The sequence below is a fragment of the Homo sapiens genome, chromosome 7, assembly GCF_000001405.40.
Source record: "Homo sapiens chromosome 7, GRCh38.p14 Primary Assembly".
Lineage (NCBI taxonomy): Eukaryota > Metazoa > Chordata > Mammalia > Primates > Hominidae > Homo > Homo sapiens.
The window spans coordinates 30,366,035-30,390,287 of NC_000007.14; the positions used below are offsets into that span (position 1 = coordinate 30,366,035).

Sequence of the window (24,253 nt, forward strand, 5' to 3'; positions counted from 1 at the left end):
GTTTTCTTGTCTTGACAAGATGCTTGAAAAACCAAGAGGATATGAAAATCTGTCTCTGGAGAAACAAAGACGCAGGCATACTCAGCCAGAAATCTGAGTTTTGTGAGACTTGGTAATACAGAGATGGACAATCGTACTGGGGTAAAAAAACCCTGCTGAAGAGAGGACAGTGACCACAGAACTCAGTGTACCAAACATGCATACAAAGGACACACAGGGATTTTGAAAATGCTGCACATCCCTTAATAGTCATCTACATAGGTAATACTGATAAACATTTTGTATTCAGACGCCAAAGTTAACTGATTTAAAAGTTGATTTACTTTTTATTAAGTTCTCCAGAGCTGCACAACTAGTTATGTTTTGATTTGTTTTGTTTTTTAATTTGGGGTCTCTTTGTTTTCCCCAACATAATGTTCATAATGTTTCTGCATTCATCTGTTCTTAAATTGAAAAACATATAATTTACTTCTTATAAATTGAAGTCTTAAATGTGAAACCAAGAAATGTAATCAAGCAGTAAAAACATCTGAATGTAGACCATGATCTCAAGTTCTTCCATTTTCTCCCCCACGAGTGGAAAATAGACTTCTACATAGGAAAGCTAAAATATGTTAATATTTTTAAATTAAAGGTTTAATATCAGAATGCAGTCCAAAGAGCAAATCATATTACATAATTACATTTTAATTAAATATAGAATATTCTACTGAATTGCAATTTATTAAATATTCTTATCCTCTTAAATAAAACTGCTCAACAGTTAATCAGCAGTGAATCATCTTGCAGCTATGCAATTTAAAAAAAATACAGATTACCAATTTCAAGTGCTGCCAGCTAAAATAACTGTTTTAACGGGTATCTTTTGTTTGTTCTTTTCACTTAATTATTTTATTGTGCTTTGCATCTCCAGGCAGTTCTCTCACATTTGGGTAAAATGTTTAGCAGGCTGTAAACTTAAGAAAAGGGTAAAATAAAATTTTCTGGAGAGGAACTTGGAATTTGAGGGAGATTTTATATACCTTTAAAAACTGTAATTTAATTGGGATGCCAGGTTTATAGCAATTTGCAACTTTAATTTTCCAGATAATCTGGAGGTTAGCATTTGATAAATGATTTTTTAAAGTAGATATGAAGATTTTGTTAATTTATAATTTATTCATGTGTTATTACTGTAATTGAAAATGTTATAGACACTTTTAAATTCAGTTTGTGTAGAAAGAAATGTGTTAAACAAAATTATGTTAATAAATATTCCCACATAATACATCTGAATGGTTAAAAATACTGGAAGAGTTGTCAGGGCTACAATAGTGAATGTCCTTTTTTTTAATATCAAAAATATCGATAAGTAGGTTTTGTGTTTTCAACGTAGGGAAAATGTTATCAGTGAATAGGTGGTGTACTTTACTTGGTATAATTTAAAGTTGCACAGTAAGTACTGTTTCCTTATTTTAATCTTTCTTTACTCATAATGTATTTAAGAATTTGCTGTTTTATTTAACGCTGCTACTCTTAATCTTCTCTAAATTTTTCCCCCTACTTTCTTGCTTCTGTTTCACATTTTTTAAAAGGGCAAGTACAGGAGCAACTGCTGCTACCCAGAAAAATGTGTGTATTATAAATAATTAAAGAGTTTTTAATTGCTTTCTGTATGATTCCAGCTCAGATAACATTTTCCCTGAAGTTATGCTGTGAAATGCCTTTTGTTATGCTGCAATTGCTAAAGGAATCCAAAACCTCCATTGTGACAGCTGAAGGCACAGTTTAATAGGTGCTTTTTTACTAGTTATGAAAAATATTCGTCCCTTAAGGAAACGATTCTTTTTCTGTTTTTTTCTGTTACCATGAAGTCTTAATTTGATTTCATTTTATTTCACATTTTTGATTTTGTAAGCTTTCATACCCTCCTGCTCAACCCCCTCAAGTAAAACCTCTTAGAATGTGAATAATTGGTTCATTTTCTATTGCTGGTATACTCTTGTGATGAGAATTATTTTGTTGTCTTCCATTCTTAAAGGAAGAGATTTATTACAGCTGTGGGGATTAACTGTATTCTCCTGGAAGTTGATTTTCTGATAGGTTAATGCAAAAGTCATTGCAAAAACTGCTATTACTTTTGCGCCAATTTAATAGTTCACTTGTTTACTTTTTAACCTATATTGGCTTAAATTCACTTTTTAGCCCCTCTTTGTCATAAGGTTCTGTGCTGCATTTGCTACAATAGAAGCTCCTATGGTTTTAAAGAAAGTTCAGTGTTTTGTCAGTGTCAAGTGCTACTTGATGATTATATTTGTCTGGAACAGTATTCACTTAAGTCTGTTTATAGCAATCCCTTTTTTGACAAAATTTACAAAGTTGGCATTTTTACTTTAAATTCCATCTCTATCAGTGACTTCCTAAAAAGAGCAACTTAGAAATTGGGGGAAAAATGTTTTTAAAGCCCAAATGCTCCAGTTTTTATTCAAAGTCAAAGTCGTTATTCTGGAAAATACAAGTAATGTTCTATATAATGTCACTTAAAATATTCGTAAATCTATTTTGCAAACACTGAATAGTATAAGTAAGATATAAAATCACAATAGATATTTAAATACTAAGCTGAAACTTCTGACAACTAATTATTATGGGGGACACAATAAAGATTGAAAGCCTAGGTTACCAAGTTGGTTTTAGCTTTCTAGAATCTTTGTAAATACTCACGTTCAAATAAGATCACACGTGCATATATAGAAAGCAATATGTTCTGAAATTTCACTTTAGTGCCACTGTTTGTCCATAATGGATTTATTGCCAATTTTGAATCCTCATCTTACTTTGATCTGGCTTTTTTTTCCCCCCCTTGCCAGAATGTTTAGGAGAAAGTAAAATTATTCCGTTTTACTTTGGCTTTTTGCCAGAGATACAAACTAAGAATAGTCTGAATATGTGTTTTTCAGATCTGGTTACAAGACGGATTATAGATTGTGTTTTAGAGCAATGTTGTGATTGAAATATAAATAATGGTATAACTTTTTTTGTGTTAGCAAAAACAACATTAAAAAGGTTATGTTACATAATATGTAGGTTTTGGTTTCTTAGTGCAAGACTTATATTTCTCTTAAATGTTGTATAATTATTTCAGTTTTCACTCACTAGCTACTTTACTAAAATGTAGCCCCAAAATGACGGGCCAGCCTCAGCGTATCTGCCATATGTATTTCAAAGATTACAGTCAGAATGAGTTAATGAAAATGGCAGGTTCCTTTTCAAAGTTTATTTGACTCACAGCCATATTGCTAAGTTTGGGTATAGTGAAGTTAACAACAATCACTTAAATTAATATCTTACAGCAAGATATACTGATACTGTTTTAAATGAAAAAGACTGTAAATTCAATGTAAATATTACCTAACTTTATGTACCAAGTTAGGAGAGTGGAAGAGGGGAATTTTTCAAAAAATAAGCTGTATTTGAACAAAGCATGAAACTTGTTGTTTTAAAATTTAAGAATAATTGAATTTACCATCTAATTGGCATCCGTACTGTGCATTGATAGTAATATCCAAATCATCTTATTCTTCCATAGAGGAAGCGCTCATATAAATCACATTGCTGAGAACTATATAAAACTACATAGAGGTAAATGGTGCTTATTAAATATGAGTATAGTTTGTTACTTGCTGGAAGTCTTCTAGTTCATTTGGACCATTTTCTTACCCTGAGGTGAACTCAATATCTGTTGGCAATGGGTGGTTAAATGTGAAGTGCCCTTGTTCAGTGTCCCTTGTTCTTGTACAGGTATTTTCTTAGTTTAAAAAAAAAATTCTAGCATGCCAACATTTGTCTTTGGCCTATTCCTTTTTTTCTGAAGTGTGTAACTTCTGATTTTTTCTTTGCTATGTTGTAAATAACAGTAGCTAAATTCTCTGTTTTACTATCTACTTTTCTTTTCTTCCCAGATCATTTCATTCTAAAATTAAATTGCTTGGTTTTCTTTAGAGGAAATTGCTACATGGTATACTTGTAGTAGTGATTCATATTAAAAAAATAGCTGGTAAATCTTTCTAGGTAGTAACTTATCCAAACAATACTTTGAGTATCATATTTTGTGAATGACTTGCTTAAACTGGGAAACTGAATATTCTTTTTAAATCATATAATTCCTGTATTAAATGTGAAACACACAGTCTCCAAAGTCACCTGATTCTCTGTGGAAAATGAAAGGCATTGAAGGAAACCAGATACATTAATACTTAGTTTTGGTTGAAAGTGCAACATTACTGTACTTAGAAGGGGCTTGGTTTATTTTTAGATATTTAAGCTATCATTAATTTTAGACCAATGGCTAATAATAAGAGAGATTTTTGGTTGCTCATTTATGGAGAGACAAAGAACAGCATGGCATAAACAAACATCCCAGAAATAAATGAAAAGTTTTAAGTGATAAAATTGTGTTTTCTATGAACCAGTGTTGTACATGAACCAACATTGTGTTTCTTAGCTCTGACCTGTACAGTGAGGTACCTGTCAGGACCCCTAGTCTTGGCACTGGAAATGACAAAGTTCTCCTATTACTAAATTCTCATGCCTTCCTTTTCTGACTTAGTAGATTGAAATTGGTAGGTACTAATGATTTATGTTTGATAAACTTAAGTTCTGCTGATATCCTGTTACTGGTAATTCTGGTACCAAAATTTCAAACGGTTTGATTATTAGTAGCATTTTGAGTACCTAGGTGCATATAATACAGTTAGCAGACCCTTACAGAGTCAAAAGAGATTTTGGAATCTGGTGATACTGTTGTTTATTACACTAGCCTATTACATTTTCTTTCTTTATAATAACTGTTTATGTGAGTTTCATTGAAAATCGTGGCTCTATTGCTTTATTCATGGTTTCCACAACTCTTTTTGTAACACCTTAATTTTCTCTCTTAGGTATTTTCCTGTTAAATAAGATATCAAAAGCATCAATCACAAGACAGAGAAAACGTATTAGGAAAAACTTGTATTAGTATATTCTAAACTGAAATGGAAAAACTCATTATTCATATTTTAATAAATAAAACTCCCAAATGATCTTGCTAAATTATCCCACTATTTAGAAGTAGAAAATAAGAGAAGAGTGCTTTCAAGGAAATTTGTCATATTCTCCCTTCTATCTAGAAGTTGACAATGAATTGCAATAAAACTAAGAAATAACTGAATGCTGAAAAATACCATGAATTAATGTTATGGCTTCTTTATTTTTGTATATCCATTCCCACAAAATTGAATTTAAGATTATTAATGAAAATTCTATATTAAGTAATAATGCTTGTATTAGTAATGGGTAAAGAAGTCTTTCTTTGTTACATTAACCGTTAGTAAAAGATGTACTTTGACATTTCTGATGTAAAACCTATATGTAAATATTGTAATTTAAATATGATTGGACAGCTGTTAAGTTTTGGGGAGGGAAGCAGATGCCAGCGTTCTCTGCTGAAAAGACAAGATGGCGCTTGACGGACCACAGCAGATGGAGCTGGAGGAGGAAAAGGCAGGCAGTGGACTCTGCCAGTATTATCTGTCCAAGATTGAAGAACTCCAGGGTCAACTGCAATATAAATTGGATGGGGGAAAGCCACAAGGAACAGTTCTGAACTCCAGGTGCATTTGCAGCTGATTTTGAATGATAAGACCCAAAACCTCTGGAGGCGGCAGGTGCACGGGAATGAACTAAATGTTAAAGTGTGCCTATTACAGGAGGAGCTACAGCTGCTGCAGGAATAGGACTCCTGTGTCAGGGAAGTAGTCCAGGCCATGGGTAAGAAGAAAGTGTTGGTCAAGGTGCATCTCAAGGACAAGTTTGTCATAGATGTGGACAAAAATATCAGCATCAGTGATGTGACACCCAGTTCCTTGGTGGTTCTAAGAAATGACAGCTACACTTTGCACAAGATCCTACCCAACAAGGTGGACTCATTGGTGTCACTGATGATGGTGAAGAAAGTACCAGATTCAGCTTATGAAATGATTGGTAGACTGGATAGGCAGATCAAGAAGATCAAAGAAGTGATCGACCTGCCTGCTAAGCATCCCGAGCTCTTCAAAGCACTGGGCATTGCACAGCCCAAGGGAATGCTGCTTGGAAGAGACTGTTGGCCTGGGCTCTGGCTCATCATAGGGACTGTGTACCTTTATTCATGTCTCTGGCTCTGAATTGGTACAGAAATTCATTGGGGAATTTCTGTGATGGCAGAGAAAATGCTCATCTGTCATCTTCATGGATGAAATTGACTCTTTTGGCTCCTCAGAGCTGGAGGGGGATGCTGGAGGGAACAGTGAAGTGCAGCAGATGATGCTTCGAGGGTGGCTTTGAGGCCACCAAGAGTATCACGGTTTATCACGGCTGCTAATACGATTGATATCCTGGACTCGGCACTGCTTTGCCCAGGGCACATTGACAGAAAAATTGAATTCCCAACCTGCAATGAGTAGGCCTGGCTGGTCACTTTGAAGATTCATTCTCAGAAATGAACCTGACCCAGGGGATCAACCTGAGAAAAATTGCTGAGCTTATGCCAGGAGCATCAGGCTGAAGTGAAGGGCATGTGCACAGAAACCGGCATGTATGCCCTGAGTAGCGAGTCCATGTCACTCAGAAGGACTTTGAGGTAGTCCAAAGTCCTATCTCATGCCAAAGGACAGTGAGGAAAAACATGTCCATCAAGAAACTATGGAATTGAGGGCACATCCTTTGTGTGTATCCCTACAATAAAACTCAGTGGGACAAGCAAAAAAAAAAAAAAAAAAAAGTTTTGGGGAGGGATGATCTGCTAGTGTATAATCAATAACTTTTAACATTTAGCTTGTATTTAGTAACATTTCATTGTGTTTTGAAAAAAAGTAAAAAATCTTTTGAAGCACAATTTTCATGATGTAAAAGGTATTGAGTTTCCTAGTGTAAGAACATGAATTCTGGAAACAGTCTTAGGGACACTGGGCAAGATAGAGGCCTCCACCCCTCCCCCCCCCACCAACTTTGTTTGTAAAAGGAGATAATACTGCCTACATCAGGGTTGGTGTGAGGATTAATTAGAAGAGTACATGTATGTAAGCACCAGACACATAGTAAGCACTTAATAATGTTAGTGGCTAGTATAAACAGTAAACATATTTGTGCCCATTTATGAATAATTTTAGTATTCGCTCCAGTCATGAGGTGTAGTAGTAATATCTAAGACCTTAACTGAAATGTTTAAAGAAACCTAGGTATAACAGAGAACATTATGGGTGCTGATTTCCACTCTCACTAAAAGCCAGTGACTTTACTATATCAGCAAGTATAAAGCACTACTTGACTCTGTAGATTGTATGGACCAAGAATGTAGATATGAGACAGCTGATCTCTACGAACTGAATTTTTAGTGAGTAAAGCAAGCAAGCATGTAATAGAGAACAATAAAAGCTCTGATAGACATATGTACAAGGTGTTGTAGAGGTACAAAGGAAAGTTATTCAGACTAGGCAAGAGAGTGATTAAACTTAAGTATTGAAGAACAAATAGATCATAGCTCTAGGGGATGTGGAACATACAAAGTGGAAAGTTTGGGAAGAGTATTCCCAAGGCAAAAAGCTTAGCACATACAAACATAGGAGGAAAGCGAGACACTCTTAAAGAGTTGCTATGCTTTGGGAGGTGGAGGCGGGCGGATCACGAGATCAAGAGATTGAGACCATCCTGGCCGACACAGTGAAACCCTGTCTCTACTAAAAATACAAAAATTAGCTGGGCGTGGTGCGCGCCTGTAGTTCCAGCTACTCAGGAGGCCGAGGCAGGAGAATTGCTTGAACCCAGGAGGCAGAGGTTGCAGTGAACTGAGATTGTGCCACTGTACTCCAACCTGGCAACAGAGCGAGACTCTTGTCTCAAAAAAAAAAAAAAAAAAAAAAAAAAAAAAAAAAAAGTTGGCCAGGCACGGTGGCTCACGCCTGTAATCCTAGCACTTTGGGAGACCGAGGCAGGGTGGATCACCACCTGAGGCCAGGAGTTTGAGACCAGCCTGGCCAACATGATGAAACCCCATCTCTACTAAAAATAGAAAAATTAGCTGGGCATGGTAGTGTGCGCCTGTAGTCCCAGGTACTTGGAAGGCTGAGGCATGAGCACAGGAGGCGGAGGTTGCAGTGAGCTGAGATTGTGCCACTGCACTCTAACCTGGGCAATAGAATGAGACTCTGTCTCCAAAAAAAAAAAGTTGCTATGTCTGAAGAGGTAAACAGGTGATAAATCATGAAGAGATTTGTGTCTGAAACTGTAATTGAAGGATTTCAAACAGGAAAAAGATAATCACATTTATACTTAAGATTAGAGAGGTATGATACTGGAGGCAGAGAGACCTGTTAGAAAATTTATACTAATTCAGGCAAGATGATGAAGGGCAGAACTAAAGCAATGAAAATAGGGAAAGCAAGTACAGAAGAACAAAACTTAAAGATTTAGAGAGCAGCACTGACCCAGCTGGGACAAGTTCTAGTTGTCCATTCTATTGCCAGTGCTGCAGAGTCCAGAGGCAGCACAGTGCATCATTTGGTGAGGGAGTTCACAAGGGAGAACCAAACTAGCTTTTATAACAGACCCATTTGTGGTAACTAACCCAGTCCCTTGATAATAACCATTAATCCATGCATAGATTAATCCATTTATGGGGACATAGATAGCCTTCATGACCCAATCACCACTTAAAGGCCCTACCTCTTCGTACTGATACATTGGGGATCAAGTTTAGCACAAGTTTCAGTGGGGGCAAACATTCAAATCATAGCAGTGTCTATTAGGCTGCAGGAGGTGTCTCTACCCAAATGTCGGTAAGTATGTGATAAGTGGGATAGTTGAGCTAGTTTAACGATGTCTAGGTTGGTTGGGTTGGACTTTTCCTCGTGTCACCTCCCTGCTTAGCTCTAGCTGCTTATTGGAATGCAGCCGTGCTTTCCTGGGTTTACTTAGGAAATGCTGAGATGCACTCTGAAGCATTCTTGAGGTTTTCCCTTTGGTTCATTTGTCCCATACTCTCTCCGTTATACCAGTCTTCTCAGATCTTCACAACACAAGTAAATCTGTTGGAAGCAAGGTCTTGTAGATGTAGACATATGGGAAAGATAGAGCCTGCTCTCCTGATGGATGCTGTTGTTGAGATAGGTTGGGTTGGCCTAGGTAAGAGGAGGACCAGAAGAGATTTATGATTTCTTGGAAGGCTATGAGTTGCTGCTGGCCCCATCATAATCTTTTTTGTTTAGCAGAAGTCAGGAAACGAATACTGGTACACTTACATTTCTTGGAAGAGCAGCAGAAACCTTGGGATATCCTTGTGGGTCAAGGAGGCAACTCTCCTCACGGATTCCCTGATTTGATAACAACATACTCATGGAAACACCAATCCAAGTTTTCACAAGTTTCTCTTAAAGTTAACTTAAGACTTCCTAGACCAAGAATTCCTACCACGCAAGGCCTGTGAAAATATTGTAAACTTAATATCCGACAGGGAGATATTCAAAGATGCCAAAGTACCTGTTTTTATAAATATTACCACATGGTTTAAGATTTGACTTCTCACATAAAATGAGTAAAAATAACAATGATTTTTCTGCAGTACCTTAATGATGCTGTAATTATGAAGCAGGGTTTTAAAATTCTGCCATGTAGTGCCTTATTTTTATAGTAATGTTTTCTATGAACCTTCTAATTTAATGTGTATTAAGAGATTTAAAGAGTATGTAATTAAAAAATATCTTTCCAACAAAGTCACCTTGAGATTTAATGCTTTCTAATTGGCTTGATCATTTGATGGCAAGATAACTAGTTGGGTAACTGAACATAGACTCTACAGTGTTAGCAAATATGAATTTATATTTCAGAAAAATATCAAATAACTAATATCAGAGCCTGTGTGCCTGCCTTTCAAGGTAGTACATTAACACTTGGAATATTAAATCTGTAAATACTAAGGATATTATCCAAATAGATGATATTCATCAAATGGTATATAAAGTTCATCCGTTGTTGGAATTCAAATGTTGCAAAGGCCAAAGGTATTTAATATCCAAACTATTGTTTTAGCATATATTTATTCTTTGAAATCTGGTGTGTATTTTACACTTACAGCCCATCTCTATTCAGGACTATAGCCACATTTTAAGTTATCAAGAGTCATATGTGACCAGTGGCCACTGTGCTGGCAGCACAGGTCTAGATGACTCTGGGAGACACTTCTACTCCTATCTCTCCTTACCTGAATATTTCTGAAGGCCTTCTAATTCCAACTTTGTGAAGACTCTTGGGTCTCTTTCAAAGTTTATTTAACTGCTGCACTTGAGCAGAACTTGTCCTAAATTATTACTAAAATTGAGGCAGTTTCCTCATATTTATTTATTTATTTATTTTTTAGAGACAGAGTCTCGCTCTGTCGCCCAGGCTGGAGTGCAGTGGCGCGATGTCGGCTCACTGCAAGCTACGCCTCCCGGATTCACGCCATTCTCCTGCCTCAGCCTCCCGAGTAGCTGGGACTACAGGCGCCTGCCACCTCGCCTGGCTAATTTTTTTTTTTTTTTTTTTTTTTTTTTTTTTTGTATTTTCAGTAGAGACGGGGTTTCACTGTGTTAGCCAGGATGGTCTCAATCTCCTGACCTCGTGATCCACCCGCCTCGGCCTCCCAAAGTGCTAGGATTACAGGCGTGGGCCACCGTGCCTGTCCCAGTTTCCTCATTTTTAAATGAAAGAGCTGGAAATACCTTTAAAAGGTTGAGGGTCTAATGAATCATCTTCATGTACATTCATAGATAGCATTGGCTTTCATTGTGATTATGGTTTTTGGTGAGGGCACATGGGCTTTTAATACCTGGTCAGTGATATAGTTAGGAATTGCAGTTTGTGACACTTTGGCCAAATAATCATCAGGAATTGTGAGTGATGCTGGTGAATAATAGCTGTAGTCAGATTTGTCCCTTGTGTTGAGTTCTATGGCGGCATTTTCATGGGTTTCAGACCTTCCAGCTAATAGTTGGCTTCCTGCCCACGTCAGTGCTTAAACTGTCAAACTTGTCCACCAAACCCTCAATTCATAAAGCTGAGTCTTCAAAATCCCGCATAAGAGGCACCAGTAGTCAAGTCTAAACTGTCTTCAGTAAGATGTTCCCTAGTTTGCCTAGAGATTCTGTGCTCAAATGCCATCTTGAATGGAGTCAGCAGGCAAGGGTTGGCAGGGAGGTTGTCTATAAGTTTGGCATACACCATGGGAAGATAGACATTACATTCGTCTTCTTTGGGATCCCTGTAAGCCAGTGGTTCTCAATACTTGGCTTAACATTAGGTCAACTCAGGAGGTAGGAAGGACGTATAGAGGCATCTCTTTAAATATATTAAGGTCTTGACCTCACCCCAGATATTCTGAGTTAATCTAGTGTGATTCTGTTGTATAGCCAGTGTACAACCTATCAAAGGTTTTCTCATACACCTCAAAAATAGGGGTTAAAGGGTGCCAAGAATGTCTCAGACCTCTGTAACTCAGCTGTAGCTATATTCCTTTCAATTTTCTTTCCTGCTTGATCAAACTCTTGACTCTTTTTGGATGAGAAAACTGCTCTGGCATCATTATGCATTCTCCCCAAATCTGGTTTATAGGACAATGCCTAATTCAGCCAGGCTCCGATCCTTAATTTTCACAAAAGAATTTGTAGATTCCCAAAAGCTCTTTTTACCTCCAGAATGGCTCTGACAAATCAAAAGCATTTGGCTTCCAGACACTTCTCTTCCTTTGGATTTAAAGAACTTGACTTTGACATTCAAAATAATATCTGATTTGTCCTCATTTTCTCTCCCTTCCGAAGCAGTGACCATCAATGAGTCATTGAATAAAATGCCATAAGCAACTAGGAACACAAACTAGGAATGAAAAATGTTCAAAAATAGTCTTCTGCTACACTCATATCAATCACTAGAAAGCTACTGAAGCCTAAATATATAACTAGTCTGATTTTCATTCTTACAGTTACCTGGTAATCTTCAGAAGTCTTATCTCCCTGAAGAAGAATGTGTATAGGAGTTACTTGAACTAGAATGCAGTCACTATCATTCATTCATTTAGCATTCATTCATTTAGCACATGTGGTTGGTTGTGTTGGTTCATTCATTTAGCACGTATTGAACGTTTGATAGATGAAAGACACTGTGTGAGACACTACATATACATTGATGGGGAAAATGAATAGTGCCTGCCCTAATGGGGCTTAATTATTTAGAGTATCACAAATCTATAAATAACAGGCTGTTTGAAACCTAGTTCTTGAATAAGTATTTGTGTCAGTTCTTATAAGGTATGAGGTTATTAAGGTCATTGGAAAACCCTTTATTTGACTCTACATCCGGTAAGACTTTTATACCTTGTACCAGACCTTCCTGTGTGTCAGTGCTACTGAAACAAAGGAGAAAGTAGGTGAAAGTACTTCAAACACTAGGATTGAGGTAGAGCCAGCCAGACACAGATTTCCTAACTTGTTTACATTTTTAGAGGGCTATTTCTTCAGTAAGAACAGTATTATGTTCCTAATCAGCTTTCTCTTCATTGCTTTGTAAAGGCAACTTTTTTTTTTAAATTAATTAATTAATATTTTTTTGAGACAGAGTCTCGCTCTGTTGCCTGGGTTGGAGTGCAGTGGCGAGATCTTAGCTCACTGCAACCTCCGTAAAGGCAACTTTATTAAGTTACAATTTACGTGCAACAAAAACATTATGCATGTACAGTCTGATTAATTTGGACAAGACATATGCACCTGTGTGACTATCACCACAACCAAAATGAGAATATTTTCATCACCCCTCAAAAGTTATTCAAGTCTCTTAATACTGGGTTCCCACCCATCAACCCACAGCCCTAGGCAGTCATTGATCTGCTCTTCATTGATCTGCTCTGTGTCACTGTGGATTAGATAAAATCATTCAGTATGTACTTTATTTGTGTAAATTTGTTTTGCTCAGCATAGTGTCTGAGAAACATCACAGATGCAATGATGTTGCCTGAATCATCGCAAGACATCGCTTGAATCAGTAGTAGTGTTCCATTAAATGAATATGCTACGGTTTGTTATTCTCCTATTGGTGGGTACCTGGGCTCTTTCTGGTTTGGGGCTACCCCTATGAATAAAGTGACTATGAACGTTTGAATATAAATCTTTGTGTGAACATGTGATTTCATTTCTCTTCAATAAATTCCTAGGGATGAAACTGCCGAGTCATGTGGTAAGTATTTGTTTAACTTTGTAAGATACTGCCAAACTGTTTTCCAAAGTAGCCGTGCCATGTTACATTTCCACCAGCAATGTATGAGGGTTGCAATTTTACCACATTATTGCCAACACATGTTGGTGTCCATCTTTTTAATTTTGGCCATTATAGTGGGTATGTAGTGGTATCTCGTGGTTTTAGTTGCAATCTACTTAACCACTAATGACATTAATCATCTTTTTATATACTCATTTGCCATTCCTGTAGCTTCTTTGGTGAAAGGTCTGTTCAGTTCTTTATACCATTATTTTTAACAGGTTTATTGAGGTTTAATTTACATACCATAAAAATCTACCTACTAAAAGTATACAATTAAATGGTTTTTCATATATTTTTGGAGTTGTACGGTCCTTAGCATAATCAGTTTTGGAATATTTATATCACCCTAAAGATACCTTATACTCATTAGCAATCACCCTCAATTTTCCCCTCCTCTAGACCTAGGCAACCACTAATCAGCTTTCTGTCTCCATTGACTAGATATTGTATATAAATGGTATGATACAAAATAGAGTCATTTGCATTTGGCTTCACCTAACATAATTATTTCTGAAGATCACCCATGTTTAGCATGTATAATTCTTCCTTTATTTTTTGCTGAATAGCAAAAATAATTTTTAAAAACTCATTCTATTGTATAGCTATACCACGTTTGTTTCTCCACTTGCCAGTTGATGGATTGTATCGTCTCCACTTTGGGGGCTTTTATGAATAATGCCTGTATGAACGTTTGCCTTCAGTTTTTTGTTTGGACATATGTTTTCATTTGTTTTGGGTAAGTATTTAGAAGTACAATTGCTGGGTCGTATGTGTGCAGCTTTACACACCATGCTCACTGTTATCTCATTCCCTAGGTCTGTTAAATTCCTGGCTGTTTTGCCCATCTGTGGCTTGCCCCAGCCATTATCTCAATCTAGGTATAATGTTGGCCTTCCCTGTTTGCTGTCCAGTTAGGTATTGTTTTCGACAACACTCCTGCATGTGTATTTTTCCCAGATTCTGCTCCATATCAGTTTAGCCTCCTCCAGCAGGGAGGCTGCAGACCTTGACAGCCTGCCCACCCTGGTAGAACTATAGTGCCACAGAACTTGAAGGACTGGGGGAGAGTGAGACGGGGGCAGCCTCAGACTATAATGCCACAGACTCTCACTGTTCTAACCAAGGTTCAGTAGGTTTTCTTGAGTAAATGTTTCTCAGCTTGTTGCATGCATTAGTGAGTTCTCAGAATTCTGAAATGAGTATTTTCACAGTTTTGTCAAGTTTTATCATTGCTTTTTTGGGAGAAAATTTGCCAAACTCATTACTTAGACATTCCTGAAATCTCATTGGGATGCTTTTTTTTTTTTTTTTTTTTTTTTTTTTTAATTATGCTTTAAGTTCTGGGATACATGTGGAGAACATGCAGGTTTGTTACATAGTTATACACGTGCCATGATGGTTTGCTGCACCCATCAACCCGTCATCTACATTAGGTATTTTTCCTAATGCTATGTCTCCCCTAGCCCCCCACCCCCCGACAGGCCCCAGTGTGTGATGTTCCCCTCCCTGTGTCCATGTGTTCTCATTGTTCAGCTCCCACTTATGAATGAGAACATGTGGTGTTTGGTTTTCTGTTTCTATGTTAGTTTGCTGAGAATGATGGTTTCCAGTTTCATCCATGTCCCTGCAAAGGACACGAACTTATCCTTTTTTATGGCTGCATAGTATTCCATGGTGTGTATGTGCCACATTTTCTTTATCCAGTCTATCACTGATGGGCGTTTGGGTTGGTTCCAAGTCTTTGCTGTTGTGAATGGTGCTACACGTGTGCATGTGCCTTTATAGCAGAATGATTTAATAATACTTTGGGTATATACCCAATAATGGGATTGCTGGGTCAAATGGTATTTCTAGTTCTAGATCCTTGAGGAATCGCCACACTGTCTTCCACAATAGTTGAACTAATTTACAGTCCCACCAACAGTGTAAAATTGTTCCTATTTCTCCACATCCTCTCCAGCATCCGTTGTTTCCTGACTTTTTAATGATCGCCATTCTAACTGGCATGAGAATGGTATAACATTGTGGTTTTGATTTGCATTTCTCTAATGACCAGCGATGATGAGTTTTTTCCCCATAAGTTTGCTGGCCACATAAATGTCTTCTTTTGAGAAGTGTCTGTTCATATTCTTTGCCCACTTTTTGATGGGGCTGCTTGTTTTTTTCTTGTAAATTTGTTTAGGTTCCTTGTAGATTCTCGATATTAGCCCTTTTCAGATGGATAGATTGCAAAAATTTTCTCCCATTCTGTAGGTGCCTGTTCACTGTGATGATAGTTTCTTTTGCTATGTAGAAGCCCTTTAGTTTAATTAGATCCATTTGTCAATTTTGGCTTTTGTTGCCATTGCTTTTGGTGTTTTAGTCATGAAGTCTTTGCCCATGCCTATGTCCTGAATGGTATTGCCTAGGTTTTCTTCTAGGGTTTTATGGTTTTAGGTCTTATGTTTAATTCTTTAATCTGTCTTGAGTTAATTTTTGTATAAGGTATAAGGAAGGGGACCAGTTTCAGTTTTCTGCATATGGCTAGCCAGTTTTCCCAACACCATTTATTAAATAGGGAATCCCTTCCCCATTGCTTGTTTTTGTCAGGTTTGTCAAAGATCAGTTGGTTGCAGATGTGTGGGATTATTTCCGAGGCCTCCATTCTGTTCCATTGGTCTGTATATCTGTTTCGTACCAGTACCATGCTGTTTTGGTTACCATAGCCTTGTAGTATAGTTTAAAGTCAGGTAGCGTGATGCTTCCAGCTTTGTTCTTTTTGCTTAGGATTGTCTTGGCTATACGGGCTCTTTTTTGGTTCTGTATGAAATTTAAAGTAGTTTTTTCCAATTCTGTGAAGAAAATCAGTGGTAGCTTGTTGAGATTAGCATTGAATCTATAAATTACTTTGGGCTCTATGGCCATTTTCACAATATTGATTCCTCCTATCCATGAGCATGGAATGTTTTTCCATTTGTTTGTGCCCTCTCTTATTTTGAAGAGGTCCTTCATATCCCTTGTGAGTTGTATTCCTAGGCGTTTTATTCTCTTTGTAGCAATTGTGAAGGGGAGTTCACTCATGATGTGGCTCTCTATTATTGGTGTATAGGAATGCTTGTGAATTTTGCACATTGATTTTGTATCCTGAGACTTTGCTGAAGTTGCAGTTGTATATCTTATTAATGAGTTGTAAGAGTTCTTTGTTTTTTATACAAGTCTTAGATACGTAATTTGCGAATGCATTCTCAATCTGTGCTTGCCTTTCCATTTTCTTAATAGTGCCTTTGAAAGAGCAAAAGTTTTAAATTTTGATGTCAAATGTATTAGTTTATTCTTTCCTGTTTTCTTGCCTTTTTTGTCCTAAGAAATTGTTGCCTAATACAAAGTCACAAAAGATTTTCTCTATGGCTCTTAGATTCAGATCTGTGGTAGAATTTGAGTTAATTATTGTCTATTGTGAGGATAAGGGCTGAGGTTCATGCTTAACCATATCACTCTCCGGTTTGTTCCAGGTCATTTGGTAAAATGAATACCTTTTCCCTATTGAATAAACTTTCCATCTTTGTTGCAAATCAGATAACCTTCTATGTGTAGACCTGTTGCTGAGCTCTATTCTATTCCATTAATTTATATGTCTATGTTAATATAACACTACCTTGATTACTGTAGAATTACAGTAAATCCTGAAATAATCACCTTCAGTTTTGAAAGAAATTTTTGTTAGGCCTAGAATTCTAGATTGTCTTTTGTTTTTGCTGTGTTTTCTTTCAGCACTTTAAAGTTGTGCTACTCTTTTGTCTTAAGTATAGCTTCAGACAAGAAGTTTGCCATTATCCTTTTTTTGACATGTTTAATATATTTATATGCCATAAAATTCACCATTTTGAAGTGTACAATTCAGTGTTTTTTTAGCATATTCACAAGATTGTACCACCATCACCATGGATTCCAGAACATTTACATCACTTTAAAAAGAAATCCTATGCTCATTAGTGGTCGCTCTCCATTTCCCCCTTCCCTCTTTGCCCCAAAATAACTAACCTACTTTCTGTCTCTATGGATCTGTCAATTCTGGACATTTTATTAAAGGGAATCATATAACAGATGGCCTTTTGTGTCGATTTCTTTCATTCAGCATAATGTTTTCAAGGTTCCCTCATGTTGTAACCCATGTTCGTACTTTTTTTTTTTTTCATGGTTGAATCATATTCCATTGTATATACCACATTTTGTTTATGGAAATTGGGACTGTTTTCACTCTTTGGCTGTTATGAATAATGCTACCATGAGCATTAGTGTATAGGTCTTGGTGTGAATGTGTTTTCAATTCCCTTGGGCATATACCTAGGAGTAGATTTGCTGGGTCATGGTAACTCTGTGTTTAACTTCCTGACAACTGCCAAACTTTTGACTCCACCATTTTACATTCCCAACAGCAATGTCATTATCAGGGTTCCAGTTTCTCCACATCTTTGCCAACACTTGTTATTGTCCATCTTTTTTATTATAGCCATCCTATAATAAAACAGCTATCAGGTTGCATCTCATGGCTTTAATTTACATATTCTAGTGACTATGTTGAGCATATTTTCATGCTTATTGGCCATTTATATATCTCTTTGGAGAAATGTCTATTCAAATTTGCTCATCTAAAAATTCTACTGTAGCATTTTAAGAGTTCTTTATATGTTCTAGAGTCACCGGGGGTGTCCAAGGGAGAGAATACAGTCGTGTTGTTAGTTTCTGTGTCTGGTTGGGTCAGTAAAGCCCCTTCCTCATCCCTCTTTTCTGCTTATCACTAGAGACAGAAACTAAAAACCATGGCTTCAGGCTGCTAAACTCTAAAAACAAAACAAAACAGAACAATAACAACAAAATAAGGTGGACTAGACAAAGTTGTATCTAGACCCTTATCATATATGTGATTTGCAAATATTTTGATTGTGTGGGTTGTCTTTTTACTTTTTTAATAGCGACCTTTGCAGCACAAATTCTCATTTTGATGAAGTCAAATGTATCTAACTTTCATTTGGCTGCTTATGCTTTCAGTGTCATCTAGGAACCATAGCCTAATCGAAGGTCATTAGGATTTGCACCTTTGTTTTCTTCTAATGATTTTATAACATTGGCTCTTATTTAGGTCTCTGATACATCTGCTGTGAATTTTTATGTATGGTACGAAGTGGGACGGGGGAGGGGTGTCCCACTTTAATCTTTTGCACATGGATGTCCAGTTGTTCCAGCACCATTTGTTGAAAAAACTATTCTTTCCTCATGAACTGTCGTCTTGCCTCTGTTGTTGAAAATCAGTTGACTGTAAATGTATGGATTTACTTCAGAACTGTTAATTTTATTCCATTGAGCTATATCTATTATGCTAGTACCATACAGTCTTGATGACTGCATCTTTGTAATATGTTTTGAGATTGGAAAGTGTTCTTGGGCTGAGAAATGTAAGAATTTTCCATGGTGTTTGACCTTGAGATTAGATCATTCCAGTTCATAAGTATTTGTATATGTCTTAGTCAGTTTTGTATTGCAATAAAGGAATACCTGAGGCTGGGTAGTTTATTTAAAAAAAAAAAAATAAAGCCAGGCCGCGGTGGCTGATGCCTGTAATCCCAGCACTTTGGGAGGCCGAGATGGGCGGATCACGAGGTCAGGAGATCGAGACCATCCTGGCTAACACGGTGAAACCCTGTCTCTACTAAAAATACATAAACTTAGCCGGGTGTGCTGGCACGTGCCTGTAGTTCCAGCTACTTGGGAGGCAGAGGCAGGAGAATCGCTTGAACCCAGGAGGTGGAGGTTGCAGTGAGCCGAGATCGCGCCACTGCACTCCAGCCTGGGCGACAGAGCAAGACTCCATCTCAAAAAAAAAAAAAAAAGAAGGGGGAGAAAGAGAGCAAGGTTAATTTGGCTCATGTTTCTACAGGCTGTACAAGAAGCATGGCGCACCAGCCTCTGCAACTAGTGAGGTCTCAAGCGGCTTCCGCTCGTGGTGGAAGGTGAAGGGTAGCCTATGTGTGCAGGTATCACAGGGTGAGAGAGGAAGCAAGGAGAGGGTGTGTGTCAGGCTCTTTTAAACAGCCAGCTCTTACAGCACCTAATAATACAGGAAGAACTCACCCCTGAAGGAAGGTATTGATCTATTTATGAGGGATCCACCTTCATGACCCAAACCCACCTCCCATTAGGCCCCCACCTACAACATTGGGGGATCATATTTTAATATCAGGTTTGGGGAGACAAACCAAACCGTAGCAATGCAGCTTTATATTTTTACATATAGTAAATGATGGTGATAATATCAATGACAGGAAAGACCTCAGTTGGGCATTCTTTAATAGGAGTTGATCACCATCTTGGCTTTAAAGAATTTTCATTAACTATACTGTGCTTTCCCTTGACTGACCAACTGAGAACTCAAACCGTGTTGATTTTTGCTGGTAAGTATTTGAATTGTTAGTTGACAGTCAAGCCAGTAGCTGTTTGAAAAACCTTTCTTTGGGACAACTACAAAAGCAAAAATATAAGTACCTACAAATGCAAAGAAAAATACTACTACCTGAAATCCTACTGTATATGGATAACCACTGTTAATATTTGATGAATGTGCTTTCACTTAGTGGTCTATGCAAATGCAATTTTACGTAAATGCTGTCATACCATACGTGCTGTCTTTCAACCTGCGCCCTCAAGAGAACATCATTAATATATTTGTCATTAAATGTGGGTCTACTTCATTATTTTGATGACAGCATTAAACCACTATTGAACTATACTATTTCATATAATTTCATTAATAGTTTTTTACTATTGAAATTTTAAGTTGTTTCTAGTTTATACTCTCACCAACAGAACGTGAATTAAAGTTTCCTCATACTTGAGGCAAAACAGAGTTTTGTCACCCTTTTACCATCTTTGCTATACTATAAGCAAAAAATAAGTTTCTGTTGCATTTCTTTTATGATGACTGTAGTTGAATGTCTTTCATTAGTGTCCTGGCCATGTGTATTTCCTAGTGAATTACTTGCTTATGACTATTGCCTGTTCTTTTTTTCCTTAGTGATTTATTTTTATATATTTTTAGTGTTAGACTGTTAATATATGTTGCAAATGTGTTTCTCAGTTTGCCATTTATCTTGGAATCTTCATGGCAGTGTATTTTCTTGTGGTGTTTTTGGGTATTTTGTTGCTGTCCAATATTTTTGCCTTCTTATAAAAGTAATCACACTTTTCAATCTTTGCTGTATGTTTTTGAACTTTGTGGTCATGCTTAGAAGGATTTTACCCATCTCAAGTTTACATAAACTTTCACTTGTATTTTCTCCTGGTACTTTTATATGTGGTTCATATTTAAAAACATTTAATCCATCCATTATAACAGCAGCTTTTTAAAACTGCAGAACTTTTTATTCTGCCCAATATGTTTGAGAGATTTGTGTCTTAGCAAGTGGATTTTTGCTTTAAAGTCCCATTGAACTAGTGCTGGAATAAGAACTAATAGTGAGATACAGTTTTTTGTATTATAATATTTATGCTCTTCCTCCACATCTTCATTTGGCTGGCTCTTTCTTTGTTCAGACCTCTGCATAAATCTCACACCTCAGAAAGGCCGCCTGTGGCCACCCCATCTTTATAAAATAGCCTCTCTCTGATCATTCTGTCTAAAGAAGAAGACCACCCCCATTGTTCTGCATCCTGTTCCCTGTTAAACTTCTTAGCACTTAGCACTGCCTACCTCATCATGTTTGTTTCCTTGTTTATCTTATCTCCCTTCTCCCACTAGAATGAGGACTCGATGAAAGCGAGATTTTTTTCTGTCTTGTTCATTGCAGTATCCCAGAACCCAGAAAAGATTCTGACACAAAATAGTCATCTATAAATATTTAAGTCAATGACTGAATATTTAGAAAATTATTGTGGTATTTTTTCAGAGTGTTAACTTCTTTTGAAGTGTTGTGTGAAAGACATCCATTAGTATCTCTGAAATTATGAATTAAAAAGAAGGCAATAGGCTGGGCGCAGTGGCTCATGCCTGTAATCTCAGTACTTTGGGAGGTAGGAGGATCACTTGAGCCCAGGAGTGCAAAAGCAGCCTGAGCAACATAGTGAGACCCCATCCCTATAAAAAATTTAAAAATTAGCCAGGCATTGGTGGGGCATGCCTGTAGTCCCAGCTATTCTGGAGGCTGAGATGGGAGGATCACTTGAACCCAGGAGGTTGAGGCTGCAGTGAGTCATGATTGCGCCACTGCACTCCAGCCTGGGCAGCAGAGGAAGATCTTGTCTCGAAAAAAAGGCAGTAGGCGAATATAATTCAATATAAAATAAAACTTTGTGGAGTCATCTAATGCCAGGGACATAGGTGGACCGCACCTAATGATGATGAAAATAAGACTATTAATGAAGCAGTTCACATCAGCCTTTTGATACTATGCTTTTATCAAGTTTGTGTAAATGAGATTATGCAAATAATAGTGATGGCTCTCACTTTGGAGCACTTATCTGAGGTCAGGAGTTCGAGACCAGCCTGGCCAGCATGGCAAAACCCCGTCTCTACTAAAAATACAAAAATTAGCTGGGTGTGGTGGTGCACACCTGTAATCCCAGCTACTCAGGAGGCTGGGGCAGCAGAATCGCTTGAACCTGGGAGGCAGAGTTTGCAGTGAGCGGAGATGATGCCACTGTACTGCAACCTGGGACAGAGTGAGACTCCATCTGCAAAAAAAAAAAAAAAAAAAAAAAAAAAAAAAAAAAAAAAAGAAGCAAAATCTGAATTTCACTCATCTTGAGTATGAACTGGCCCTAGTAACTTGTTTCTAACTAACAGAATGCAACAGAAGTGATGCTGTATGACTTCCAGGGCTTAGTTAGAATAGGTAATACAGCTTCTAACTGGCTTTCTCTCAGGAAGGTTCTCCGTGGAACCAAGGTTCTATGCTGTGTGAGAAAGCCCTGGCCACGTCAACCACCAAACATGTGAGTGAGGAAGCCTTCTAGATGATTCCACCCTAACCACCATCTGGCTAGAGCTGGATGAGAGACCTGAGGGAGAGCTGCCTAGCTGAGTCCAGTCAATCCCCAGAATTGTGAGAGAAGATGATATATGATTGTTGTTTCATCTCACTAAGTTTGGGATGGTTTGTTACACAGCGGTTGATAACTAGACCAGAGACCTTTCCTAGAAACGCTGGAGAACACGTGCCAGGATGGTCCTGGACATCTCCATTGTTTGCTGCTTGCTTCTCTACTGTGCCCATTGCCTGTGCTTTCACCAAACCCCCTATTAACCAGACATTGTCAGCTACCAGAAGTTTCCTGTCTTAGGATCTTGACACTTTTGAGACTCTTTGAAGTTACGAGACATGATGGACTTACTATCAAAAACTTGGCAAGCACAGTTACATCAGCAAGTGTTACTTTGTTCAAGTAAGAGGGGAAATAGTGCAGCATGGCAGTTAACCCTGTGCTCTCTAAGCTTTTACTGAATTTCAGTGGGTCATTCTAGAGACTTGGTAGCCACATGCGTGTCAGTTTGTTGATATTCAGTATTGATTATTCTCATAGGAGCTGTATATAATTGTTTTGAGCTTAAAACAAAGAAAATGATTAGTTTATGGTTCTAATCTTTTGGATTTTTTTTTTTTTTTTTAGACGGTGTTTCACTTTTGTCGCCCAGGCTGGAATGCAGTGGCGCGATCTCGGCTTACTGCAACCTCCACCTCCCGGGTTCAAGCGATTCTCCATCCTCAGCCTCCTGAGTAGCTGGGATTACAGGCGCCCGCCACCACACCAGGCTAATTTTTGTATTTTTAGAAGAGACAGGGTTTCACCACATTGGCCAGGCTGGTTTTGAACTCCTGACCTCAGGTGATCCACCCCCCTCGGCCTCCCAAAGTGCTGGGATTACAGGCGTGAGCCACCACGCCTGGCCTTGGATGTTTTAAAGTAAAATTTTCCCCACTGCAAAATAATAGATATGTGTTGTAGGAACTTTTGGAAACACAAGGCACAAAGGAAAAAATACCTTCATATTTCTCCTTTTCCCATCTCCCCAGAGACTTTTTTCTCCTTATTTGTTGGCATATGTCTTTCCATACTCTTCAATGCATATATATTCACAGGATAACATTATATGTGGTATTTTAGAACCACATTTCTAACATTCCATTTATCATGTTTTGTATTTGCATAGTATTCCATTTCGTAGTTGTACCATAATATCTTTAGACAATGCTTGTGGTCAAATAATTTCCCCCAATATTTTACTGTTACAAAAAATGTTTCGATGAACATTTTGGTCTAAAGTTGATGGATCAAGGAATATAGGGGTCATTATAAGTTAACAAATACAGCGTCAGATCATGGTACTACTCTGCTGAAAATCCCCCTTGGCTCCCATCTTACTCAGAGCCAAAGCTAAGGTCTTTACCATGACCTAAAATACCCTCAGCCATCCGGAGTGTGCATGTATGCATACACACAGACATGTACATGCCACTCACTCCTGCCTCTCTAGCTCATCTTCTCCTGCTCACCCCTGACTTGTTCCCCTGAAGCTATTCCTGGAATACACCAGGCAAGCAAGCCCCTGTGTCAGGGCCTTGGCACTTCTTCCTTCTGCCTATAACAATTCCTCCAAGTATCCACAGGCTTCCTCTTTCACTTCCTTTGTTGCGTTGGCTCAGATATCGCCTTATCTGAGTGCCCTTCCTTAACTATACAATACAAAATAAGTTCATGAATCTGCCCTCACCCCTACATTCCCTGTTTCCTTTACCTTGTTCTATTTTTCTATAACATTTACCTGACAAATCTTATGTTTGTTTATTGTCACTCTTCTTCCAGAATGTAAGCACTGTGAAGTCAAGGACTTTGTTAGTTTTGATCACTATTGTATCCATGGGTTCTAAAGCACTGCCTGGCACAT

General features: G+C 37.8%; 1 protein-coding gene and 1 pseudogene across 2 annotated transcripts in view; both read left to right on the forward strand.

The window, feature by feature from the left end:
- Window positions 1–1,655, forward strand: part of ZNRF2 (zinc and ring finger 2) — an 83,093-nt gene extending 81,438 nt beyond the window's left edge. Inside the window, exon 5 of the mRNA NM_147128.4 lies at window positions 1–1,655. The gene's annotated coding sequence lies outside the window, so the exon portion shown is untranslated.
- A 2,360-nt stretch (window positions 1,656–4,015) lies between these two features.
- DKFZP586I1420 (uncharacterized protein DKFZp586I1420) lies at window positions 4,016–6,775 on the forward strand (annotated as a pseudogene). Its single transcript, NR_002186.1, is given in 1 exon segment — window positions 4,016–6,775. The product of NR_002186.1 is annotated as an uncharacterized protein DKFZp586I1420 (transcript).
- Window positions 6,776–24,253: the final 17,478 nt, after the last annotated feature.